This window comes from Homo sapiens, chromosome 19 (assembly GCF_000001405.40).
Source record: "Homo sapiens chromosome 19, GRCh38.p14 Primary Assembly".
Lineage (NCBI taxonomy): Eukaryota > Metazoa > Chordata > Mammalia > Primates > Hominidae > Homo > Homo sapiens.
In genome coordinates this window covers 55,309,014-55,327,819 of record NC_000019.10, presented here as the reverse complement: position 1 = coordinate 55,327,819, position 18,806 = coordinate 55,309,014, and the positions used below count along the sequence as shown (strand labels likewise).

Below are 18,806 nucleotides of genomic sequence, written 5' to 3'. Positions count from 1 at the left end.
GCTGAGTGACATTGGGCAAGTACGGTAGCCAGGTGGCTCACCCTTCCTGAAAGAACTTGATTAGCAGGGAGGACTTCAGCTGGTCTCCAGCCTCCAGCAGTAGCACCTTCAGCAGTGTTTGATTTGGATTGCTATTACATTCTTTTTATGCAGCCTTGACCGATGACTAAGCATGGGGTGGGGAGCAGAGCCTGGCCGTTTCTGCCCAATGTGGACACCTCTAAAGTCAATGTGCTAAAGTGTTTATTTATTTATTTATTAAATTTAACTTTTTGGCCAGGCGCGGTGGCTCTCACCTGTAATCCCAACACTTTGGGAGGCCGAGGCGGGCGGATCACGAGGTCAGGAGATCAAGACCATCCTGAATAACACAGTGGAACCTCATCTCTACTAAACATACAAAAAAAAAAAAAAAAAAATTAGCCGGGCGTGGTGGCGGGCGCCTTTAGTCCCAGCTACTCGGGAGGCTGAGGCAGGAGAATCCTTTGAACCCGGGAGGCGGAGCTTGCAGTGAGCCGAGATCGCGTCACTGCACTCCAGCCTGGGCCAAAGAGCGAGACTCCGTCTCAAAAAAAAAAAAAAAAAGTTAAATTTAATTTTTAAATTATTTATTTATTTATTTATTTATGTATTTATTTATTTATTTTTTGGGACGGAGTCTCGCTCTGTCGCCCAGGCTGGAGTGCGGCGACGCGATCTCGGCTCACTGCAACTGCCGCCTCCCGGGTTCCCGCCGTTCTCCTGCCTCAACCTCCCGGGTAGCTGGGACCACAGGCGCCCGCCACCACGCCCGGCTAATTTTTTTGTATTTTTAGTAGAGATGGGGTTTCACCATGTTAGCCAGGATGGTGTTGATCTCCTGACCTCGTGATCCGCCCGCCTCGGCCTCCCAAAGTGCTGGGATGACAGGCGTGAGCCACGGCGCCCGGCCCACTCTAAGCATTTTAAAGTATAATTCGGTGTCGTCTAGCACAGTCCCAATGTTGTGCAACCTTCGTCTCTATCTAGTTCCAAAACAGTTTCATAACCCCCATAAGGAAACTCCAAATAAGCAATCATTTCCCATCCTCCCCTCTTCCCACCCCTTGCAACCACTGACTTGCTTTCGGTCTCCATGGACTTGCGTATGGGTGATCTTTGCACCACATTTCCCAGCTGACCTGACCGGGGTTCTCAGAACTGCACATGGTCTGTGATTCTTCCACTCTCCCCATCTCCTTTCTCCAGTGTCAGACCCAGACCCACTCACGTTGCAGTCTGAAGTCTCTCCCAGCCACTCCTGGTCTTTCTCCTCCTTTTTCTTTTTTTCTTTTTTTTTTTGTATTTTTAGTAGAGACGGGGTTTCACCATATTGGCCAGGCTGGTCTTGAACTCCTGACCTCGTGATCCGCCTGCCTTGGCCTCCCAAAGTGCTGGGATTACAGGCTTAAGCCACCGCGCCTGGCCTTTCTCCTCCTTTATCCTTCAGCAACCTCATCCCCAGTCAATCTCTTGCTTTTCTTTTCTTTCTTTCTTTTTTGTTTTTTTGAGAGGGAGTTTCGCTCTTGTCGTCCGGGCTGGAGTGTAGTGGCACAATCTCGACTCACTGCAACCTCCACTTCCTGGATTCAAGCGATTCTCCGGCCTCAGCCTCTTGAGTAGCTGGGATTACAGGCGCCCGCCACCATGCCCAGCTAATTTTTGTATTTTTAGTAGAAACGGGGTTTCGCCATATTGGCCAGGCTGGTCTCGAACTCATGACCTCAGGTGATCCACCCGCCTCAGCCTCCCAAAATGCTGGGATTACAGGCGTGAGCCACCGGGCCCGGTCAGACAGGCATTCTTTTAGGGTCTTATGTGGATAACCCCAATAAACCCTCACAATTGCACGAGGGCAGACCATCATGATCCCTGTTTTGCAGACAAGAAAACAGAGGTCCGAGACCCATCTATCTCTAGAGGTGTACATCCCCTCCCTGGGGAAGGTTCTGAGACCTCTGTGTTCCTAGACGTCTACATCCCCTCTCTGGGGAAACTTCCAGGCAGGGGACATAGACATCTAGGGATATAAAAATAAAAATAGGCCGGCCGCGGTGGCTCACGCCTGTAATCCTAGCACTTGGGAGGCCGAGGCGGGTGGAACACCGGATGTCAGGAGTTTGGGACTAGCCTGACCGACATGGAGAAACCCTGTTTCTACTAAAAAAATACAAAATTAGCCGGGTGTGGTGGTGCATGACTGTAATTCCAGCTACTTGGGAGGCTGAGCAGGAGAATCGCTTGAACCCGGGGGCAGAGGTTGCGGTCAGCTGAGATCGCGCCATTGCACTCCAGCCTGGGCAACAAGAGCGAAACTCCGTCTCAAAAATAAAAAATAAAATAAAAAAATAAAAATAAAAATAAAAACCAGTCCCCACCACCAACCACAAGCGGTTTCCTCAATATGAAAGTGCAACGTCATCTTTCTCAGAGGAAAAGCACAGCCTCTTCCCCTCGGCTGAGCCAGGCCAGCAGCCCTAGCTTCTGGAAGGATCCTTCAGGCTCCAGACACCCAACCTACCCGTGGCCGGTGAGTGGGGCCTAATTCCCAACTTGAAAGTAGCTCGGCAGGCTGGAGCCCTGTCCCCTGTCCTCCCAGGGAGGGTCCAAGCAGGTCACATAAGCACCGTGGGGACACCAGTGAGCCAAACTCATCTTTGTGCCAGGACACCGAGTTGGGTATGGAGGCTCAGAGCGGGGACAAGTCTTCCTTAGGATCACCTGGGCTTTCTCGTCTTTATTATTATTATGTTTTTGGAAGAGAAGTGGGAATCAGCCAGGTGGCAAACACAGGACAGGGCAGGGCAGGAGATCAGTGTTGAGGGCCGACGGAGGAGCAGGTAGCATGGACCCCTCCCTCCCCTGGGCTCCCTCATAGCTTTGTGTGACTTCCTTTAGAGGAGCTGTCACCTGCTGATCATCTGTGTTGCCCACAGACAGGGATTCCCCTGAGGGCAGGGGGTGGCTCAGATTCATGTCTGGGCAAACGGAGACCTCCGGAAAAAGAAGCGAAAGGAGGAAGACGAGACCCAGAGGAGAGGCATTTGGCAGCAGAAGGGGTGAGGAGGACTTGGAGAGCTTTGCCCTCTATCAGCCCCACTGGGACAGGATTTATTTTTTATTTTATTTATTTATTTTATTTTATTTATTTTTGGAGACGGAGTCTCACTCTGTCGCCCAGGCTGGAATGCAGTGGTGCGATCTCGGCTCACTGCAACCTCCGCCTCCTGGGTTCAAGCGATTCTCCTGCCTCAGCCTCCCGAGTAGCTGGGATTACAGGTGCCTGCCACCACACCCGGCTAATTTTTGTATTTTTAGTAGAGACGGGGTTTCACTATGTTGGCCAGGCTGGTCTCAAACTCCTGATCTCATGATCTGCCCACCTCGGCCTCCCAAAGTGCTGGGATTGCAGGCGTGAGCCACCATGCCCGGCCACCCAGCTAATTTTTTTTTGTATTTTTAGTAGAGACAGGTTTTCACCATGTTGGCCAGGCTGGTCTCGATCTCCTGACCTCAGGTGATCCACCTGCCTCAGCCTCCCAAAGTGCTGGGACTACAGGCGTCAGCCACCTTGCCCAGCCGACCCTGGCTGTTTAAAAAATAAAAATAAAAAATAAAGGAATGAAACACTAATACATGCCACAACATGGATGAATCTCAAAAACATTACACTGAGCATAAAATACACCAGACGGGTTGGGCGCGATGGCTTCCGCCTGTAATCCCAGCACTTTGGGAGGCTGAGGCAGGGGGATCACTTGAGGTCAGCATTTTGAGGCCAGCCTGGCCAACATGGTGAAACTCTGTCTTTATCAAAAAATGCAAAAATTAGCCAGGCATAGTGGCGGGCACCTGTAATCCCAGCTACTTGGGAGGCTGAGGCATGAGAATCACTTGAACCCAGGAGGTGGAGGTCCCAGTGAGCCAAGATTGTGCCACTGCACTCCAGCCTGGGCAACAGAGGGAGACTCTGTTTCAGAAAAAAAAAAAAAAAAAAAAGGTTGGGCGCAGTGTCTCACGCCTGTAATCCCAGCACTTTGGGAGCCTGAGGCGGGTGGATCACCTGAGGTTGGGAGTTCGAGACCAGCCTGGCCAACATGGTGAAACCCCATCTCTACTAAAAATACAAAAATTAGCCAGGCATGGTGGCACCGGCCTGTAATCCCAGCTCCTCAGGAGGCTGAGGCAGGAGAATCACTTGAACCCGGGAAGCAGAGGTTGCAGTGAGCCGAAATTGCGCCACTGCACTCCAATCTGGGTGACAGAGGGAGACTCTGTCTCAAAAAAAAAAAAAGAAAGAGGCGATGGTTGCATAACATTGGGAGTGCACTAATGTCGCTGAGTCGCACATTTTTTTTTTCTTTTTTCTGAGACAGAGTTTTGCTCTTGTCACCCAGGCTGGAGTCCAATGGCATGATCTGGACTGACTGCAACTTCTGCTTCCCAGGTTCAAGGGATTCTCCTGCCTCAGCCTCCGGAGTAGCTGGGATTACAGGCTCCCGCCACCACACCCAGCTAATTTTTGCATTTTTAGTAGAGATGGGGTTTCACCATGTTGGCCAGGCTAGTCTCAAACACCTGACTCCAGATGATCTGCCCACCTTGGTCTCCCAAACTGCTGGGATTACAGGCGTGAGCCGCCGTGCCTGGCCGAGTCGTACACTTTAAAATGGCTAATGTTATGTGGATTTTATGTCCATTAAAAGACACGAGGTGGCATAGTGAGAGAGGAGGTGGCTGGGACTTCTGTGTCTAAGGGAAGAGTTCTGGGGGCCTGGACTCCTGCATTTTGGGGAAGGAGGAAGGAGTTGGAGCTTGGACTCCTGGGTCCCCAAGGGTGGAGGCTCCGATCTGAGTCCAGGGGAGGATAGGGCTGAGAGTTTGGATGTTGAATACACAAAGCTGGAGGAAGGAAATTAGGGTCCCCCAAAGCTACGGTGCTGCCTGTGAGGTTCTAAGGAGACAGGACACGGTGGTTTGGGGACAGAGAGCCGTTAGGAAGTGGCAGTCAGACCAAAGGACCCAGGCAGTCCTGCAGCCTGGACTTTGCCTCTGCAGGATGTCTGCCTGAGCCCCACCCCGAATGCCAGCCCTTCTTCCCTGAGCTCACCCAGCCCCAGCTCCAGGACTGAGAGCCCCAGGAAGCTTGGAGAGGTGAGCATCCTGGGGAGGCCCTGGAGGCTGGGAGGTGCACGGAGGGGCTGGGAGGGCAGGGAGAAACTCCCCAAGCAGGAGAATGTGTGAGCTAGGACTGAACACTGAAACAGGTGAAGAGATTGCTTGGAGTGGAGGACAGCTGGCCGATTAGATCAGACCCCCACCCGTGACGTCTGCCTGAGAGCCAATGGGGGCCCAGAGGCCGTGGCCACAATCTCATGCACCTGGGCCCTCCCCAAGGGGCTGGTTCTTCAGGTGTGAAGGGGAGGAGAGAGAAAGAGGAAAGCGAGAGGGGCCCAGCTTCAGCCCCTCTCATTCTCCTGCAGAGCCCAGCATGTGAGGCTTACCTGTCCCTGTCCCTGCTGGCTGGGCTATCTTGGGGTCTGGACCTCGTGAGTGTCAGAGGCAGGAGGGACTCCGGAGTCTAAGGAAGGAGGGCCTAGAGGTCTGACCCTGGGTCTGAGGGAGGAGGGGCTGAGGGACTGGACTCCTGGGTCCTGGGAAGAAGGAAGAGGCCATGACTCCAAATCCCTAAATACCAAGCCAGGAGGAGGTCAGAAGCTGAAGATGGCTGTTGGGAGAGAGAAGGAAAAGGGTCAGGCGGCAGGAGCAGTCTTTGTCTGGCTGGGGGAATTTTCGGATGGAGATGTCATCGCTGAAAGCTCCCTTCCCACCCATGCTCAGCCTGCCTGGGGAACTCCAGCAGGCAAAAGGAGAAGGGTGAGAGGAAGGAGAGTGGAGGGGAGGAGGCAGGGTTGTCAGTGCTCCATATCTCCCAGCCCCAAAACAGAAGCTTCACCCAGAGAGCAGGCCGACCTGAGGCCCTCACTCTTGGGTACCCGAGTAGGTAAGAGCTGGGAGGTTGGACATCAGGAGCTGGAGAAGAATATCTGTATTCTAGGAGGAACTGGGGCCCCGGAATTCTGGGTCTTCCAGGCTGGAGAGAGCTGGAGGCTCAGATTCCTGGTTCCTGGGGAGGGAAGGGCTGAGACTTTGGACGTTGAACCCACAAAGCTGGAGGAAGGAAGTTAGGGGCCCCTGAAGCTAAGGTGCTGCCTGCTAGGTTCTGAGGAGGGAGGACATGGCGGTTTGGAGGTAGAGAGCCCCTCAGGAAGTGTTGGTCAGACCCAAGACCCCAGGCAGCCCTCCAGCGCTCCAGCTGGGACTTTGCCTCTGCCTTGGCCTGTCTGAGCCCCATCCCGAATGCCAGCCCTTCTTCCCTAAGCTCACCCAGCCCCAGTCCCAGGACTGAGAGCCCCAGGGATCTTGGAGAGGTGAGCATCTCCAGGAGGTCCTGGAGGCTGGGAGGTGCAAGGAGAGGCTGGGAGGTGCAAGGAGGGGCTGGGAGGACAGGGAGAAATTCCTCAAGCAGGAGAATGCGTGAGATAGGGTTGAACACTGCGGGATAGGTGGGGAAATTGCCTGGAAATGGAGAGCTGGCCAATCAGATCAGACCCCTACAGGTGACTTCTGCCTGAGAGCCAAGCGGGGCCTAGTGGTTGGGGCCACAATCTCATGCACCTGGGCCCTCCTTGAGGGCTGGTTCTTCAGGTGTGAGAGAGACAGGTGTCCAGCCTCAGCCCCGATCCTTCACCTGCAGAGCCCGGCATGTGGGGCTACCTGTCGCTGATGCCTGTCTTCCTAGCTGTCTGGGCTATCTCTGGCGTCTGGATCGTGTGAGTGTCAGAGGCATGATGGACTCCTGGGTCTGAGGGTGGAGGGGGCTGGGGCCTGGATTTCTGGGTCTGAGGGAGGAAGGGGTTGGGGGCCTGGATCCCTGGATCTGAGGGAGGAGGAGCTGGAGGCCTGGACTCCTGGGTCTGAGGGAGGAGGGGCTGGGGGTCTGGACTCCTGGGTCTGAGGGAGGAGGGGCTGGGGGATCTGGACTCCTGGGTCTGAGGGAGGAGGGGCTGGGGGCCTGGACTCCTGGTCTGAGGGTGGAGGGGGCTAGAAGTCCTTGTTTGTTTGGTTAACAGAAGGAAAAGTTGTTGGTGAGAGTCGCCCACTCACTCTGATTTCCTCCGTAGTTTTGCCATTGCAGTGACCAACAGGACTGTGGACCTCAGTAAAGGCTTTCCCTACATCAGGTAATTCTGCCCGAGGGTAGGGATTTGGGGGGATCGCCGCTGCAGGAAAGTGGAGGCCCTAGCTTGGATTGCCCAGGATGACCCCTTTGTCTTCCCCAGCATCTGCGGATCCTTCCCCCCTCAGAGCTGCATCTTCAGCCAGGTGCTCAATATGGGAGCTGCTCTGGGTAAATATTGCCCAGCCCTTTGGTTCAGTGCTCCCAAGCCCAGCCAAGCGAGTTCCGAAACCGCTCCTTTCTCAAACCCAGGAGTCCATGCCCCAGGCCCCTCTTTCCCCAAAATCCGGGAGTTTGCCACTTTCTCCCTCACCTTGCTCCCCTCACTTCCCTCCCTGGGTCCCAGGAGTTCTTGGTGGGTCTCCCTCCCACTTCCTTCTCCCCTCTACTCCCAGCCGCGTGGATCTGCATTGTCCGTTACCACCAGCTCCGGGACTGGGGCGTCAGAAGGTGGCCTAACCAGCTGATCCTATGGACGGGTCTTCTGTGTGCCCTGGGCACCTCCGTGGTAGGCAATTTCCAGGTGAGACCCAGTCGGCGCCCAGGGTCTGTCCCGGCCGGCGTCTGGAACTACAACTCCCAGCATGCCCCGTGGCCATAGGCTTATTGTCTCGGGGGCTGGTTCCCGCCCGGCCCTCCTGGGACTTGTATTTTTCTCTGGCCAGTGGCCTTGGACCGGCTGGATTCCTTTGCTCTCTGAGTGGGGCACTACGAGCGAGGCTGTTTGTATGTAGGACTTCGTTGACTTCCAGGACGTTGGGATAATTTTCTGCCAGCCCCTCTCCCCAGCTTATTTAATGATGAAATTACTGGTCCAGGCGCAGTGGCTCATGCCTGTAATTCCAGCACTTTGGGAGGCGGAGGCAGGCGGATCGCCTGAGGTGAGGAGTTTGAGACCAGCCTGGCCAACCAACATGGTGAAACCCCGTCTCTCCTAAAATATACAAAAATTAGCCGGGCATGGTGGCAGGCGACTTAATCCCAGCTACGTGGGAGGCAGAGGCAGGAGAATCATTTGAACCTGGGAGGTGGAGGTTGCAGTGAGCCGAGATCGAGCCATTGCACTCAAACCTGGGGGATAAGAGTGAGACTTCTCTCAAAAAAAAAAAAAAAAAAAAAAAAAAAAAAGAAGAAGAAGATGAAATTACTGGCCGGGCTCTGTGGCTCACGGCTGTAATCCCAGCACTTTGGGAAGCCAAGGTAGGTGGATCACCTGAGGTCAGGAGTTGGAGACCAGCCTGGCCAACACGGTAAAACCCCATCTCTACTAAAAATACAAAAAATTAGCTAGGGGTGGTGGCAGGTGCCTGTAAGCCCAGCTACTCAGGAGACTGAGGCAGGAGAATTGCTTGAACCCGGGAGGCAGAGGTTGCATTGAGCCGAGACCATGCCATTGCACTCCAGCCTGGGCTGCAAGAGTGAGACTCAGTCTCAAAAAAGAAAAGAAAAGAAAAAAGAAATTAGTGAGGCTGGGCACAGTGGTTCATGCCTGTAATCCCAGGACTTTGGAGGCTGAGGCTTGAGCCCAGGAGTTCAAGACCAGCCTGGACAACATAGCAAGACTCTGTCTCTACAAAAAATAAAGAATTAGCCAGGCATGGTGGCGTGAACCTGTAGTCCCAGCTATGCAGGAGGCTGAGGTGGGAAGATGGAGGATTGCTTGAGCCCAGGAGGTCGAGGCTGCAGTGAGCTGTGATTGTGCCACTGCACTCCAGCCTGGTGAACAGAGTGAGACCTTGTCTCCAAAAAGAAATGACTGAGATTTACTCATTCTTCATGTTAGGCACATTGATTGAGCATTTGGCAGCCATTGGCAGCAGGCTTTCCATTTTGTACATGACTTCATTCCATCTCCATGAAGACTCTAGCTAGGTCACTCATTGCCCATGGACCACAGAGAATATATTTATATATATACATATATTGGAGATGGAGTCTTGCTCTGTCACCCAGGCTGGAGTGCAGTAGTGCGATCTTGGCTCACCGCAACCTCCGCCTGCTGGGTTCAAGCGATTCTCCTGCCTCAACCTACCAAATAGCTGAGACTACAGGCACCTGCCACCAGGCCTGGCTAAATTTTTTTTGTATTTTTAGTAGAGATGGGATTTCACCATATTGGCCAGGCTGGTCTTGAACTCCTGACCTCAAATGAGCCACCCACCTCAGCCTCCCAAAGTGCTCCACAACTATTTATTTATTTGAGACAGAGTCTTGCTCTGTGGCCCAGGCTGGAGTGCAGTGGTGAGATCTTGGCTTACTGCAACCTCCATCTCCCGGGCTCAAGTGATTCTCCTAACTTCAGCTTCCAGAGTAGCTGGGATTACAGGCGCTCACCACCACGCCCGGCTACTTTTTGCATTTTTAGTAGAGATAAGGTTTCACCATGTTGGCCACGCTGGTCTCAAACTCCTGACCTCAAGTGATCTGCCTACCTTGGCCTCCCTAAGTGTTGGGATTACAGGCATGAGCCACTGTGCCCAGCCCTCAACCTATTATTATTATCTTGCTCCTCTAAGGAGTATTTTTAGACATTTCCCCCTGGTTCTCCCCTCTTCCCATGAAATTTTAAGTATTTATTTTATTTATTTATTATTTGTTTATTTATTTTTGAGATGGGATCTTGCTCCGTTGCCCAGGCTGGTGTGCGATGGTGCCATCTCAGCTCACTACAACCTCTGCTTCCTGGGCTTAAGTAATCCTCCAGCCTCAGCCTCCTGAGTAGCTGGGATTACAGGCCTGAGCCACCATGACCGGCTAATATTTGTATTTTTTTTTTTCTTGAGATGGAGTCTCACTCTTGTTGCCCAGGCTGGAGTGCAATGGTGCGATCTTGGCTCACTGCAACCTCTGCCTCCTGGGTTCAAGTGATTCTCCTGCCTCAGCCTCCCAAGTAGCTGGGATTACAGGTGCCCGCCACCACGCCTAGCTAATTTTTTGTATTTTTAGTAGAGACAGGGTTTCACCATGTTGGCCAGGCTGGTCTCGAACTCCTGACCTCAAGTGATCTACCCGCCTTGGCCTCCCAAAGTGCTGAGATTACAGGTGTGAGCCACTATGCCTGGCAATATTTGTATTTTTTGTAGAGACGAGGTTTTGCCATGTTGCTCAGGTGGGTCTTGAACTCCTGAGCTCAAAGTGATCTGCCTGCTTCACCTTCCAAAGAGCTGGGATTACAGATGTGAGCCACCGCACCAGGCCAAAATTTTAAGTATTTTAAAATTTTAATGGAATATGTGCTATGTATCCGTGAGTCACATACAATTGTAATATTTAAGAATTTTTCACCTGCAAGACCAATTTTTGGGGAAATGTCTGTCCCCCGCCTTGAGAATGCAAGATTTATCCCACTCATATTTACTGAGCATCTACTATGTGCCCATCACTGTTCTAGGAATTGAGGCCACAGCAGTGAACAACAGATTTCAATGCCTGCTCTCGTGGAGCTGACAATAGCTGATGTGCTTAATAAGCCCATCACTGGGTATGGAAAGTTGGTGACCACTGTCTACTGCATTGGTGAAGGGCCCTGGCCCCTCTGGTGCCCCTTACCCTCCTTCCCAGAGTCTCCCTCCCAACTTCTCCCTTCTCCTCCCAGGAAAAGAACCAGCGGCCTACGCACTTGGCAGGGGCCTTCCTTGCCTTCATCTTGGGTAACGTCTACTTCTGGCTGCAGCTCCTCCTGTGGAGGCTGAAGAGGCTGCCCCAGCCCGGGGCTGCCTGGATTGGGCCCCTCCGCCTGGGCCTCTGCAGCGTCTGCACCATCCTCATTGTGGCCAGTATCCTTCTTGTATCCGGGGTAGGGCTTGGAGGTGGCTCTTCACTGGAGTTGGTCTTCCTGCCTGGCTGTCTGTCACTGGGGATGTCTCTTCCTTTCTCTGGGCCTCACTCTTTGCACAGGATTATGGCTTTGTCATCGAGAATGCCGACTTCGGGGTCAGGTTGCCCAGGTTGGAAGCCCCTGTCCTCCACACAGCAGCTGGGGGAAACTTCCGCGGGCTGTTACTTCTCGGTGTCAATGGTTTCGTCATCCCTCAAATGTGGATAACGACAGGGCTGACCTCAGGGTTGTGGAGTGGATAGGATAATAGGCATACGGTGCTTAGATCTGTGCCTGGCACATAGCGAGTGACCAATAGACGCTGGAAGAATGATATACTAAGAACAGTCCCTTGAGGGCACCTGCTCTGTGCCAGGAATCATGTGGTTACGAGTGAAGACGGGTTCAGACAGGAAAAGTCTTTCGGCCAGGATGCGCGTGAGGTTCTGCAATGGAGCTGGTGATAGGCTGCAGGTGGCTTGCGCAGGCTCTGAGAGGCATTCTGTGAACTGCTCGTCCGAACTCCATGTCCTGTGATATCATGTGAGTAGCTTGAAATAGCCATCATGGGAGTATTTATACCACTGTAATTGGCAGATGCCACCAACCAGAGCCAGTTGTTAAACATTTACTAGCACACCACATGAGGCTTGACTCAATTCCAACTCATTTCTGAGCCATCCCCAGAACCGAGGCACTTTCCACCAGCACAGTGTACTTCTAGATGGGTCAGGTCACTCTCTGAGGCCTCAGTTTCCATATCCATAAAATGGATTTGCTTTTATCATCATGATTATTTTTATTTATTTATTTTTGAGACAGAGTCTTGCTCTGTCGCCCAGGCTGGAGTGCAGTGGCGTGATCTCAGCTCACTGCAACCTCCGCCTCCCGGGTTCAAGCGATTCTCCTGCCTCAGCCTTCCACGTAGCTGGGACTACAGGCACCTGCCAACCACACCTGGCTAATTTTTTTTTTTTTTTTTTTGAGACGGAGTCTCGCTCTGTCACCTAGGCTGGAGTGAAGTGGCGTGATCTTGGCTCACTGTAAGCTCCGCCTCCCAGGTTCATGCCATTCTCCTGCCTCAGCCTCCTGAGTAGCTGGGACTACAGGCGCCAGCCACCATGCCCAACTAATTTTTTGTATTTTTAGTAGGGACAGGGTTTCACCATGTTAGCCAGGATGGTCTTGATCTCTTGACCTTGTGATGCGCCCACTTTGGCCTCCCAAAGTGCTGGGATTACAGGTGTGAGCCACCGTGCCTGGCCTTTTGTATTTTTAGTAGAGACGGGGTTTCATCATATTGGCCAGGCTGGTCTCGAACTCCTGACCTCATGATCCACCTGCCTTGGCCTCCCAAAGTTCTGGGATTGCAGGCATGAGCCACCATGCCCGGCCTATTATTATTATTATCTTGTTATTATTATTTTTTGAGATGGAGTCTCACTCTGTCACCCAGGGTGGAGTGCAGTGGCATGATCTTGGCTCACTGCAACCCCCACCTCCCAGTTTCAAGCAATTCTTGTGCCTCAGCCTCCCAAGTAGCTGGGACTACAGGCATGCACCACCACACCTGGCTAATTTTTGTGTTTTTAGTAGAGATGGGGTTTCACCATGCTGGGCAGGCTGGTCTCGAACTCCTGACCTCAGGTGATCTGCCCGCCTCGGCCTCCCAAAGTGCTGGGATTACAGGTGTGGGCCACTGTGCCCAGCCTACAGTGATTAATTCTGATAGGTAGAGTGTAGAGTGAGAGAAAGGAGGGGCTGAAAACCCAGCCTTGGGGGGTCTTTCTCATTTGTGGGGAGGCCCAGAGTGTGCAGGCATTCAGAAGAGAGTACAGAGAAACCAGCTAAGGCCCTGTGTTGGTTGTATTAAGTGCATCCGTTTCTTGGAAATTTTCTCAGCAAAATGGAAATGGTGATCGTATTTCCTGGAGTGACAAAGTGTATCTTCACAAAATAGTTGAGAGGGCTGGCCCCTCAGCCCGGCCTATAGTGACTTGGGGTATGAGACCATTAGGTCTCCTTTGCAGGGGCCCTGATGGTGATAAGATCCAGCCCAGATCTTCTAAACTAGCCCTGATGATCAGTTTAGCCACAGGGGCCTTCATTCTGTGGGACTCAGTAGTCTCTTGGGTGGGGTAGGTGGGGGAGGGAACCATAAAGACAGCTAGCTGAGTGTCGTAAGGGATGGACGTCTGTAAAGACGGGCCTGAGCCTGGCCGGATTCTGAGCCTGGCCTTGCAGAAGGAGCTGCTCGTGGGCTGGGAGGTTGAGGGCACACTGCAGGTACACGCACCGAGCAGAAAGACCAGCCCAGGGAGGAGTGAGGCTGCTGGCAGGGCCAGGGCTGAGGATTCTCTAAAATTAGGGATCAGAGGCTTGGGTTTCTGCCTGGGGGTGATAGAGAGCCATAGGAAGTTTACGGTCAGGCATTGTGGCTCATGCCCATAATCCCAGCGCTTTGGGAGACTAAGGCGGGCGGATGACATGAGATCAGGAGTTCAAGACCTGTCTGGCCAACACGGTGAAACTCTATCTCTACTAAAAATACAAAAATTAGCCAGGTGTGGTGGCACACGCCTGTAGTCCCAGCTGCTCAGGAGGCTGAGGCACAAGAATCGCTTGAACCTGGGAGGCAGAGGTTGCAGTGAGCCGAGATCACGCCACTGCATTCCAGCCTGGGACACAGAGTGAGACTCTGTTTCAAAAAAAAGACCAGGTCTCGCTCTGTTGCCCAGACTGGTCTCGAACTCCTAGCCTCAGGCAATCCTCCCACCTTGGCCTCCCAAAGTGCTGGGATTGTAGGCGTGAGCCACCACTTCTCAGCCCCCTTAGAAATCCCTGAATGAATGGAATAAGCTGTCTGGGAGGGGTGAAGTGGTGAGCAGCTCCAGTGAGAGAAGTTCCAGAAAACAAATGCTGTCTCTACTAGGCCTGGAGTCTGCAGGGGCTGGCAGAGCAGAAAAAGGTCTTAAGGAGCTAGCAGGGTGCGAGAACCAGAGGAGGGACGGGACAGACCAGGAGAGAAAGGCACAAGACATGAGGAGAGGGCTGGAGAGAGATGGGTAAGGCAGATAGGACAAGACTTGGGGTGACCAGCTGGCCAAGAAGGATGAAGAGAGGGCCGGGGGAGTGTCTGCTGGGGCACATGAGTGGATGGTGGAGTTGTCGTGGAGGAGGGGACACTCAGAGAAACAGATTTTACAGGGAAGAGATTAGGCTCTGGGAGTGAGCAGGAAGGGCCTGTAGGCCATGGGTAGCGGGGTGGATGTTCAGGAGAAAGTTGCAAAACACAGTCCGAGGCTGGCGGCAGGGAGGGAGGCGTATTTAGGAAACCATGCATGTTTACAGGCAGGAGCAATGGCAGCTGGATGTCCTGGACAAGTAGGGAGGCAACCAGGCCCTTCCCTGGGTCAGGGAAGGGAGACAGAAACATTTCAGGATATTAGGATTGCAATAGTAACGGGGGTGCACGCAAAGGAAAGCATGTGCAAGCAGCTTGAGATGGAGACCGGCTGGAGAGCATCGGAGACCAAGGCGAGGCCCCGTCTGTGAGGAGCTACGGGGGAAGGGGAGAGCTGAGGATGGGGACACCCAGAGACGGCCTCCGCCCAGCGCGAGGCGGCACAGAGACCAGGCCGGGCTCCGCGTCTGTCACGGTAGCAGTGTGGCCCTTGACCCTGGGGCAGTGATCGTCCTCCACGCCTGCTCGCTGCGTAGCGTCTCTGCGGCCTGCGAGTGGGTCGTGGCCATGCTGCTGTTCGCGCTCTTCGGTCTCTTAGCCGTTGACTTCTCCGCCCTGGAGAGCTGCACCCTGTGTGTTCAGCCGTGGCCCAGCCTCAGCCCCCCGCCGGCCTCCCCCATCTCCCTGCCGGTCCAGCTGTAGCAGGCACCCTGACCCGGGCCTTGCCCTCACCAGTGAAGCAGGAAAGATGGGGCCAATCCCAGTGCCCCGCACCCAGCAAGATGAGCCACTGGAGATCTCTCCAACCAGCTGGGGCTGCCGCTGACTGACCTGGAGCCGGAGGACCTGTGTGCCGGCGCGGAGGGCCTCTGAACAGCTGGTGGCAGCCAGCATCCCCGTCCCCGCCTTCGGGCCCTGCCCCTGCAACTGGGCACCCAGGAATCGAGAGGCCAAGGCCAGCCAGCTGTCCCTGATCAAGGCTATTTATTATTATTATCTTTTTTTTTTTTTTTTTTTTTTTTTTTTTGCCGCCGGCGGAATCAGAGACACGGACGCAGGCAGGATCACGCGAAACCAGAATTCCTTCCGGAGAGCAAATCCGTACAGAAGGTCGTGGGGGGAGGACCAGGGGAGGAGGGGCCCGGGAAGAGGGGGTTGGGGACGACACAGGGACAGAGGGCCCTGTCCGGATCTGCTAAGCCACCCCAACCAGCTCCCGTCCCTCCCCCACCCCACCCCGCAGAGAGATTGATCAATAAATAAAATAATAAATTAATCAATAAATAAAATAGAAACAGCTCCCCCGCCCCCTGTTCCCCTAGAACCACCCCCAGTTGGGCACGGCCTGTGGAGCCCCATCCCTGCAGGGCAAGGCCGGTTTTTGTGTCCACCCCCCTCCCGACATGTTCCTTGGGCCTTATTTACAGATTCACAGTTGGGGGGCACGGAAGGGGGGTGGAGGGGGGTCCCCTCCCTCCCCGGCCCCGTGGGGTCAGGGCAGAGGGGTCCCGTTGGTGGCCAGGAGCTTCTTGTCCTTGGGGGGGCCTCGGCGGGGAGAGCTGCTCAGCTCTGGGTCTGGGCGGCCGGGTGGGGGCTGCAGGCTTCGGGGTGGGGCACCAGCAGGCCGGGTCTGGGCCCCGTTCTTCTCGTCTGCAAGGGAGGAAGAGGTTTTTCGTGGGTTCCGCAGCCCAGGGTTGGGGTTCCCATTACCAGGGGATGGGGGCAGAGTCTCCTCATCAGTCGGTCTCAGTAACCCCGAGGCTCTAGCTCCAATCCCTGATAAGGCCCAGTCCGTCCAGCACCTGGCCTTGAATTGGTTACTCGGAGGACACACCCCAAGTGGCAAGGCCTGACTCCCCTAGGACGGGGGCTGCACCCTATGCCCCCTGCAACCCTGGGGCCAGGTTAGTCCAAGGGGGCCTGGGCCGGGCCTGACTTTAGGAGACTCTCAGATTCTGGTTATGATACTGTTCGCTAGGAAACAGCCTGCCAGGACGGTGCTCAACGTTCACAGCAAGAGGGGCCCCCCGACTCTCTCCTACCCTGGTTGTTAGGGAGAAATGTTCCATGGAACTGGGCTCAAGGGAGCCTACTGGTGGAGTCGGGGGGGTCTCAGGCCCCTCATGCTGGGCCAGCCTGACTCAGGTCACTGTCTCCTGGGTCCTGAGGCCACCTCCTCTTGGGGACTGAGGTGGAAACACTGGTTGCTGGGTGGTCTCCAGCAATTTCCATGGGGCCTAGGATGTTACCTGAGGTCCCGTGGCGGAGACCTCGTTTTTCTTTTAAGAGAAACTGAGTGGGCCGGGCGCAGTGGCTCATGCCTGTAATCCCAGCATTTTGGGAGGCTGAGGCAGGCAGATCACTTGAGGTCAGGAGTTTGAGACCAGCCTGGCCAACATGGTGAAACCCCGTCTCTACTAAAAATACAAAAATTAGCCGGGTGTGGTGGCACGCACCTGTAATCCCAGCTACTCGACAGGCTGAGGCGGGAGAATCATTTGAAACCCGGGAGGTGGAAGTTGCAGTGAGCTGAGATCGCGCCACTGCACTCCAGCCTGAGCGACAGAGGGAGATTCTGTCTCAAAAAAACAAAAACAAAAACTGGGGGGCTTGTCATAGCAACCACGGTGACTCGGAGGCCTGCACCCCCCACCCCATTCTCCTTTATGAGATGGTGGCTGAGCCCCCCAGGGTGCCTGTTAGTCCTACATCTTCCAGGGTGTGCCCGTTTTGAGACCCCTGGTTGCTGAGGCCAGCTTTCCTCGGCAACGGGGTCCAGTGGACCTAATTTGCTTTCCGGTTGCCCCTAGCAACCATGAGAAAAGAGGGTTTCTGCACCTCAGCACGACTGCCATTTGGGACCCAGCTGTCGTGGGGGGCTGTTCTGTGAATTGTAGGGTGTTTTACAGCATCCCTGGCCTCCACCTACAAGAGGCCATTGGCATCCCCCTGTTTTCCCCAGTTGAGGGGAGGAAAAATGTCTCCAGACATTACTAAATGTCCCTAGGGGGTTGGGCTAGGCTGAATAACGGCCCCCTCCAAAGATGTCCACATGCAAATACCGAGAACTTGTGACTATGTTTCTTGATGCAGCAGAAGAGATCCTGTGCTGTGGGGAAGGTGAGGGACCACGAGTTGGGGGATTATCTTGGAGTATCTGTGCAGGTCCCACTGAGTCACCTTTTCCCAGCTAAGGTCAGTCAGAGGGATATATGGCGTCACTGGCTTTGAAGATGGAGGAACGGGCCTTAACCAGAGCGCCTAGGAACTGGAACACACAAGGAAACAGTCTCTGCCAGAGAGCCTCCAGGTGCAGCCCTCCAGGCACCCTGTTAGCCTGCAGAGACCATGTGGGACTTCTGACCTCCAGGACTGTACGAAAATCACTTGTGTTGTTTCAGCCACCAAGGCTGTGTCATTTGTTGACGGCGGCCATAGAAAACAAACACGGGGTGAAACCAGCTCCCCTAGTTGAGAACCACGGCTCCAGAGCAAAAGACCTGACCCTGGGACTCAGAGTTTCTGGTGACAAGGCCAAAGCTGCCCTGGCTCCTGGCCTCAACGCTGGGCCGTTTCCTTTCAACGGGGTCCAGGGGTCCAGGAAGGGGCATGGGTCCTGTGAGGCTGATGCTGCCTGACTCCCCTCAGAGCAGACGGCTGTCCACGTGCCCTGCAATGGGGCCCAGTACCCTGTTTCACTGTGTCCCCTGTGACCCCGTGTCTCAGGAATGAGGGCTGATTTCCAGGGCAGGCGCTCTCTTCCCTTGAGAATTCTGGCTACCTCTGGTTGCTTGGGCGAGTGCCCCTTATGCTCTCTACTGAACACTGCATCCTCCCAAATTCATGTGCTGAAACCCAATCCCAAGGTGATGGTATTAGGAGGTTATGTTAGGAGGTGATGAGGTCATGAGGGTGGGGCCTTCATGAATGGGATTAGTGTCCTTAGGAAAGAGGCCCCAGAGAGTTCCCTTGCCCCTTCTGCCATGTGAAGACACAGCACCAACGTGCTGTCTGTGACCCAGGAAGCAGCTCTCACCAGGCACCAACGCTGCTGGCAGCTTGATCTTGGACTTCCCAGCCTCCAGAATTGTCAGCAATAAATTTCTGTTATTTGTAAGTTGCCCAGTGTATGGTATTTTCTTATAGTAGCCTGAACGAACTAAGACACCTTTGCAACAAACCCTCTGCTCTCCTGATTGCTAGAGAATTTGAGTCTTTGATGACCAGGACTGGGAGCCCGGGAAGGCCGGATTCCCCAGAGCAAGATCTTGCACATTCCCATGAACTCAGCTTAGAATTCTGGTTGCTAGGGACCATTAGGCCCTAGCCCCAGGGTGAGGTGACTTGTGAGACCTGCAAAGATGGTGACCAATTTGTCCTGGGTTTAGACTCAAAGCCCTGCATCCCAGAAACACCCTTCAGTCCCAAGCAAACCAGGACGGTGGGTCACCGTCCTCCTGGACAGAGGTCCAGAACCTCTGTTGGCAGGATGTTCCCTGACCCCCAACACAGAGCCTGTCATCTTCTTAGGGACTCCTGGGAGCCAG

At 54.1% G+C, this 18,806-nt stretch overlaps 2 protein-coding genes across 19 annotated transcripts in view, besides 1 other annotated feature; one reads left to right on the top strand and one right to left on the bottom strand.

Annotated features, from left to right (window-relative positions):
- The first annotated feature begins 2,478 nt into the window (after positions 1 to 2,478).
- Positions 2,479 to 18,376, top strand: TMEM150B (transmembrane protein 150B). Of its 18 annotated transcripts, none has more exons than XM_047438673.1 (9): positions 2,479 to 2,548; positions 5,077 to 5,172; positions 5,286 to 5,567; positions 6,776 to 6,851; positions 7,203 to 7,262; positions 7,362 to 7,429; positions 7,654 to 7,781; positions 10,854 to 11,034; positions 14,765 to 15,019. In XM_047438673.1, the coding sequence occupies exons 4-9, from the start codon at positions 6,784 to 6,786 to the stop codon at positions 14,959 to 14,961; spliced, it is 702 nt and encodes a 233-aa protein (XP_047294629.1). In that variant the 5' UTR covers positions 2,479 to 2,548; positions 5,077 to 5,172; positions 5,286 to 5,567; positions 6,776 to 6,783; the 3' UTR covers positions 14,962 to 15,019. The 18 variants fall into 18 exon arrangements, 16 of the variants coding, with proteins under 16 accessions (XP_047294629.1, XP_005258869.1, XP_011525152.1 ...); XM_005258812.5 differs by lacking the exon at positions 5,286 to 5,567 and adding an exon at positions 2,955 to 3,077 and having other exon boundaries at positions 6,727 to 6,851; XM_011526850.4 differs by lacking the exons at positions 5,286 to 5,567; positions 14,765 to 15,019 and adding an exon at positions 17,525 to 18,376 and having other exon boundaries at positions 6,727 to 6,851.
- Positions 14,276 to 14,801: an enhancer, noted in NCBI's record as "H3K27ac-H3K4me1 hESC enhancer chr19:55824387-55824912 (GRCh37/hg19 assembly coordinates)". NCBI's record gives its function as "activates a minimal SCP1, AML or CMV promoter by ChIP-STARR-seq in naive H9 embryonic stem cells {active_cell/tissue: H9 hESC(naive)}" and the evidence as "EXISTENCE:reporter gene assay evidence [ECO:0000049][PMID:30033119]".
- Positions 15,258 to 18,806, bottom strand: part of BRSK1 (BR serine/threonine kinase 1) — a 28,566-nt gene continuing 25,017 nt past the window's right edge. The window contains exon 19 of the mRNA NM_032430.2: positions 15,258 to 15,909. Coding sequence (NP_115806.1) covers positions 15,752 to 15,909 — 158 coding nt within the window. The 3' untranslated portion in view covers positions 15,258 to 15,751. The remainder of the gene's footprint in view (positions 15,910 to 18,806) is intronic.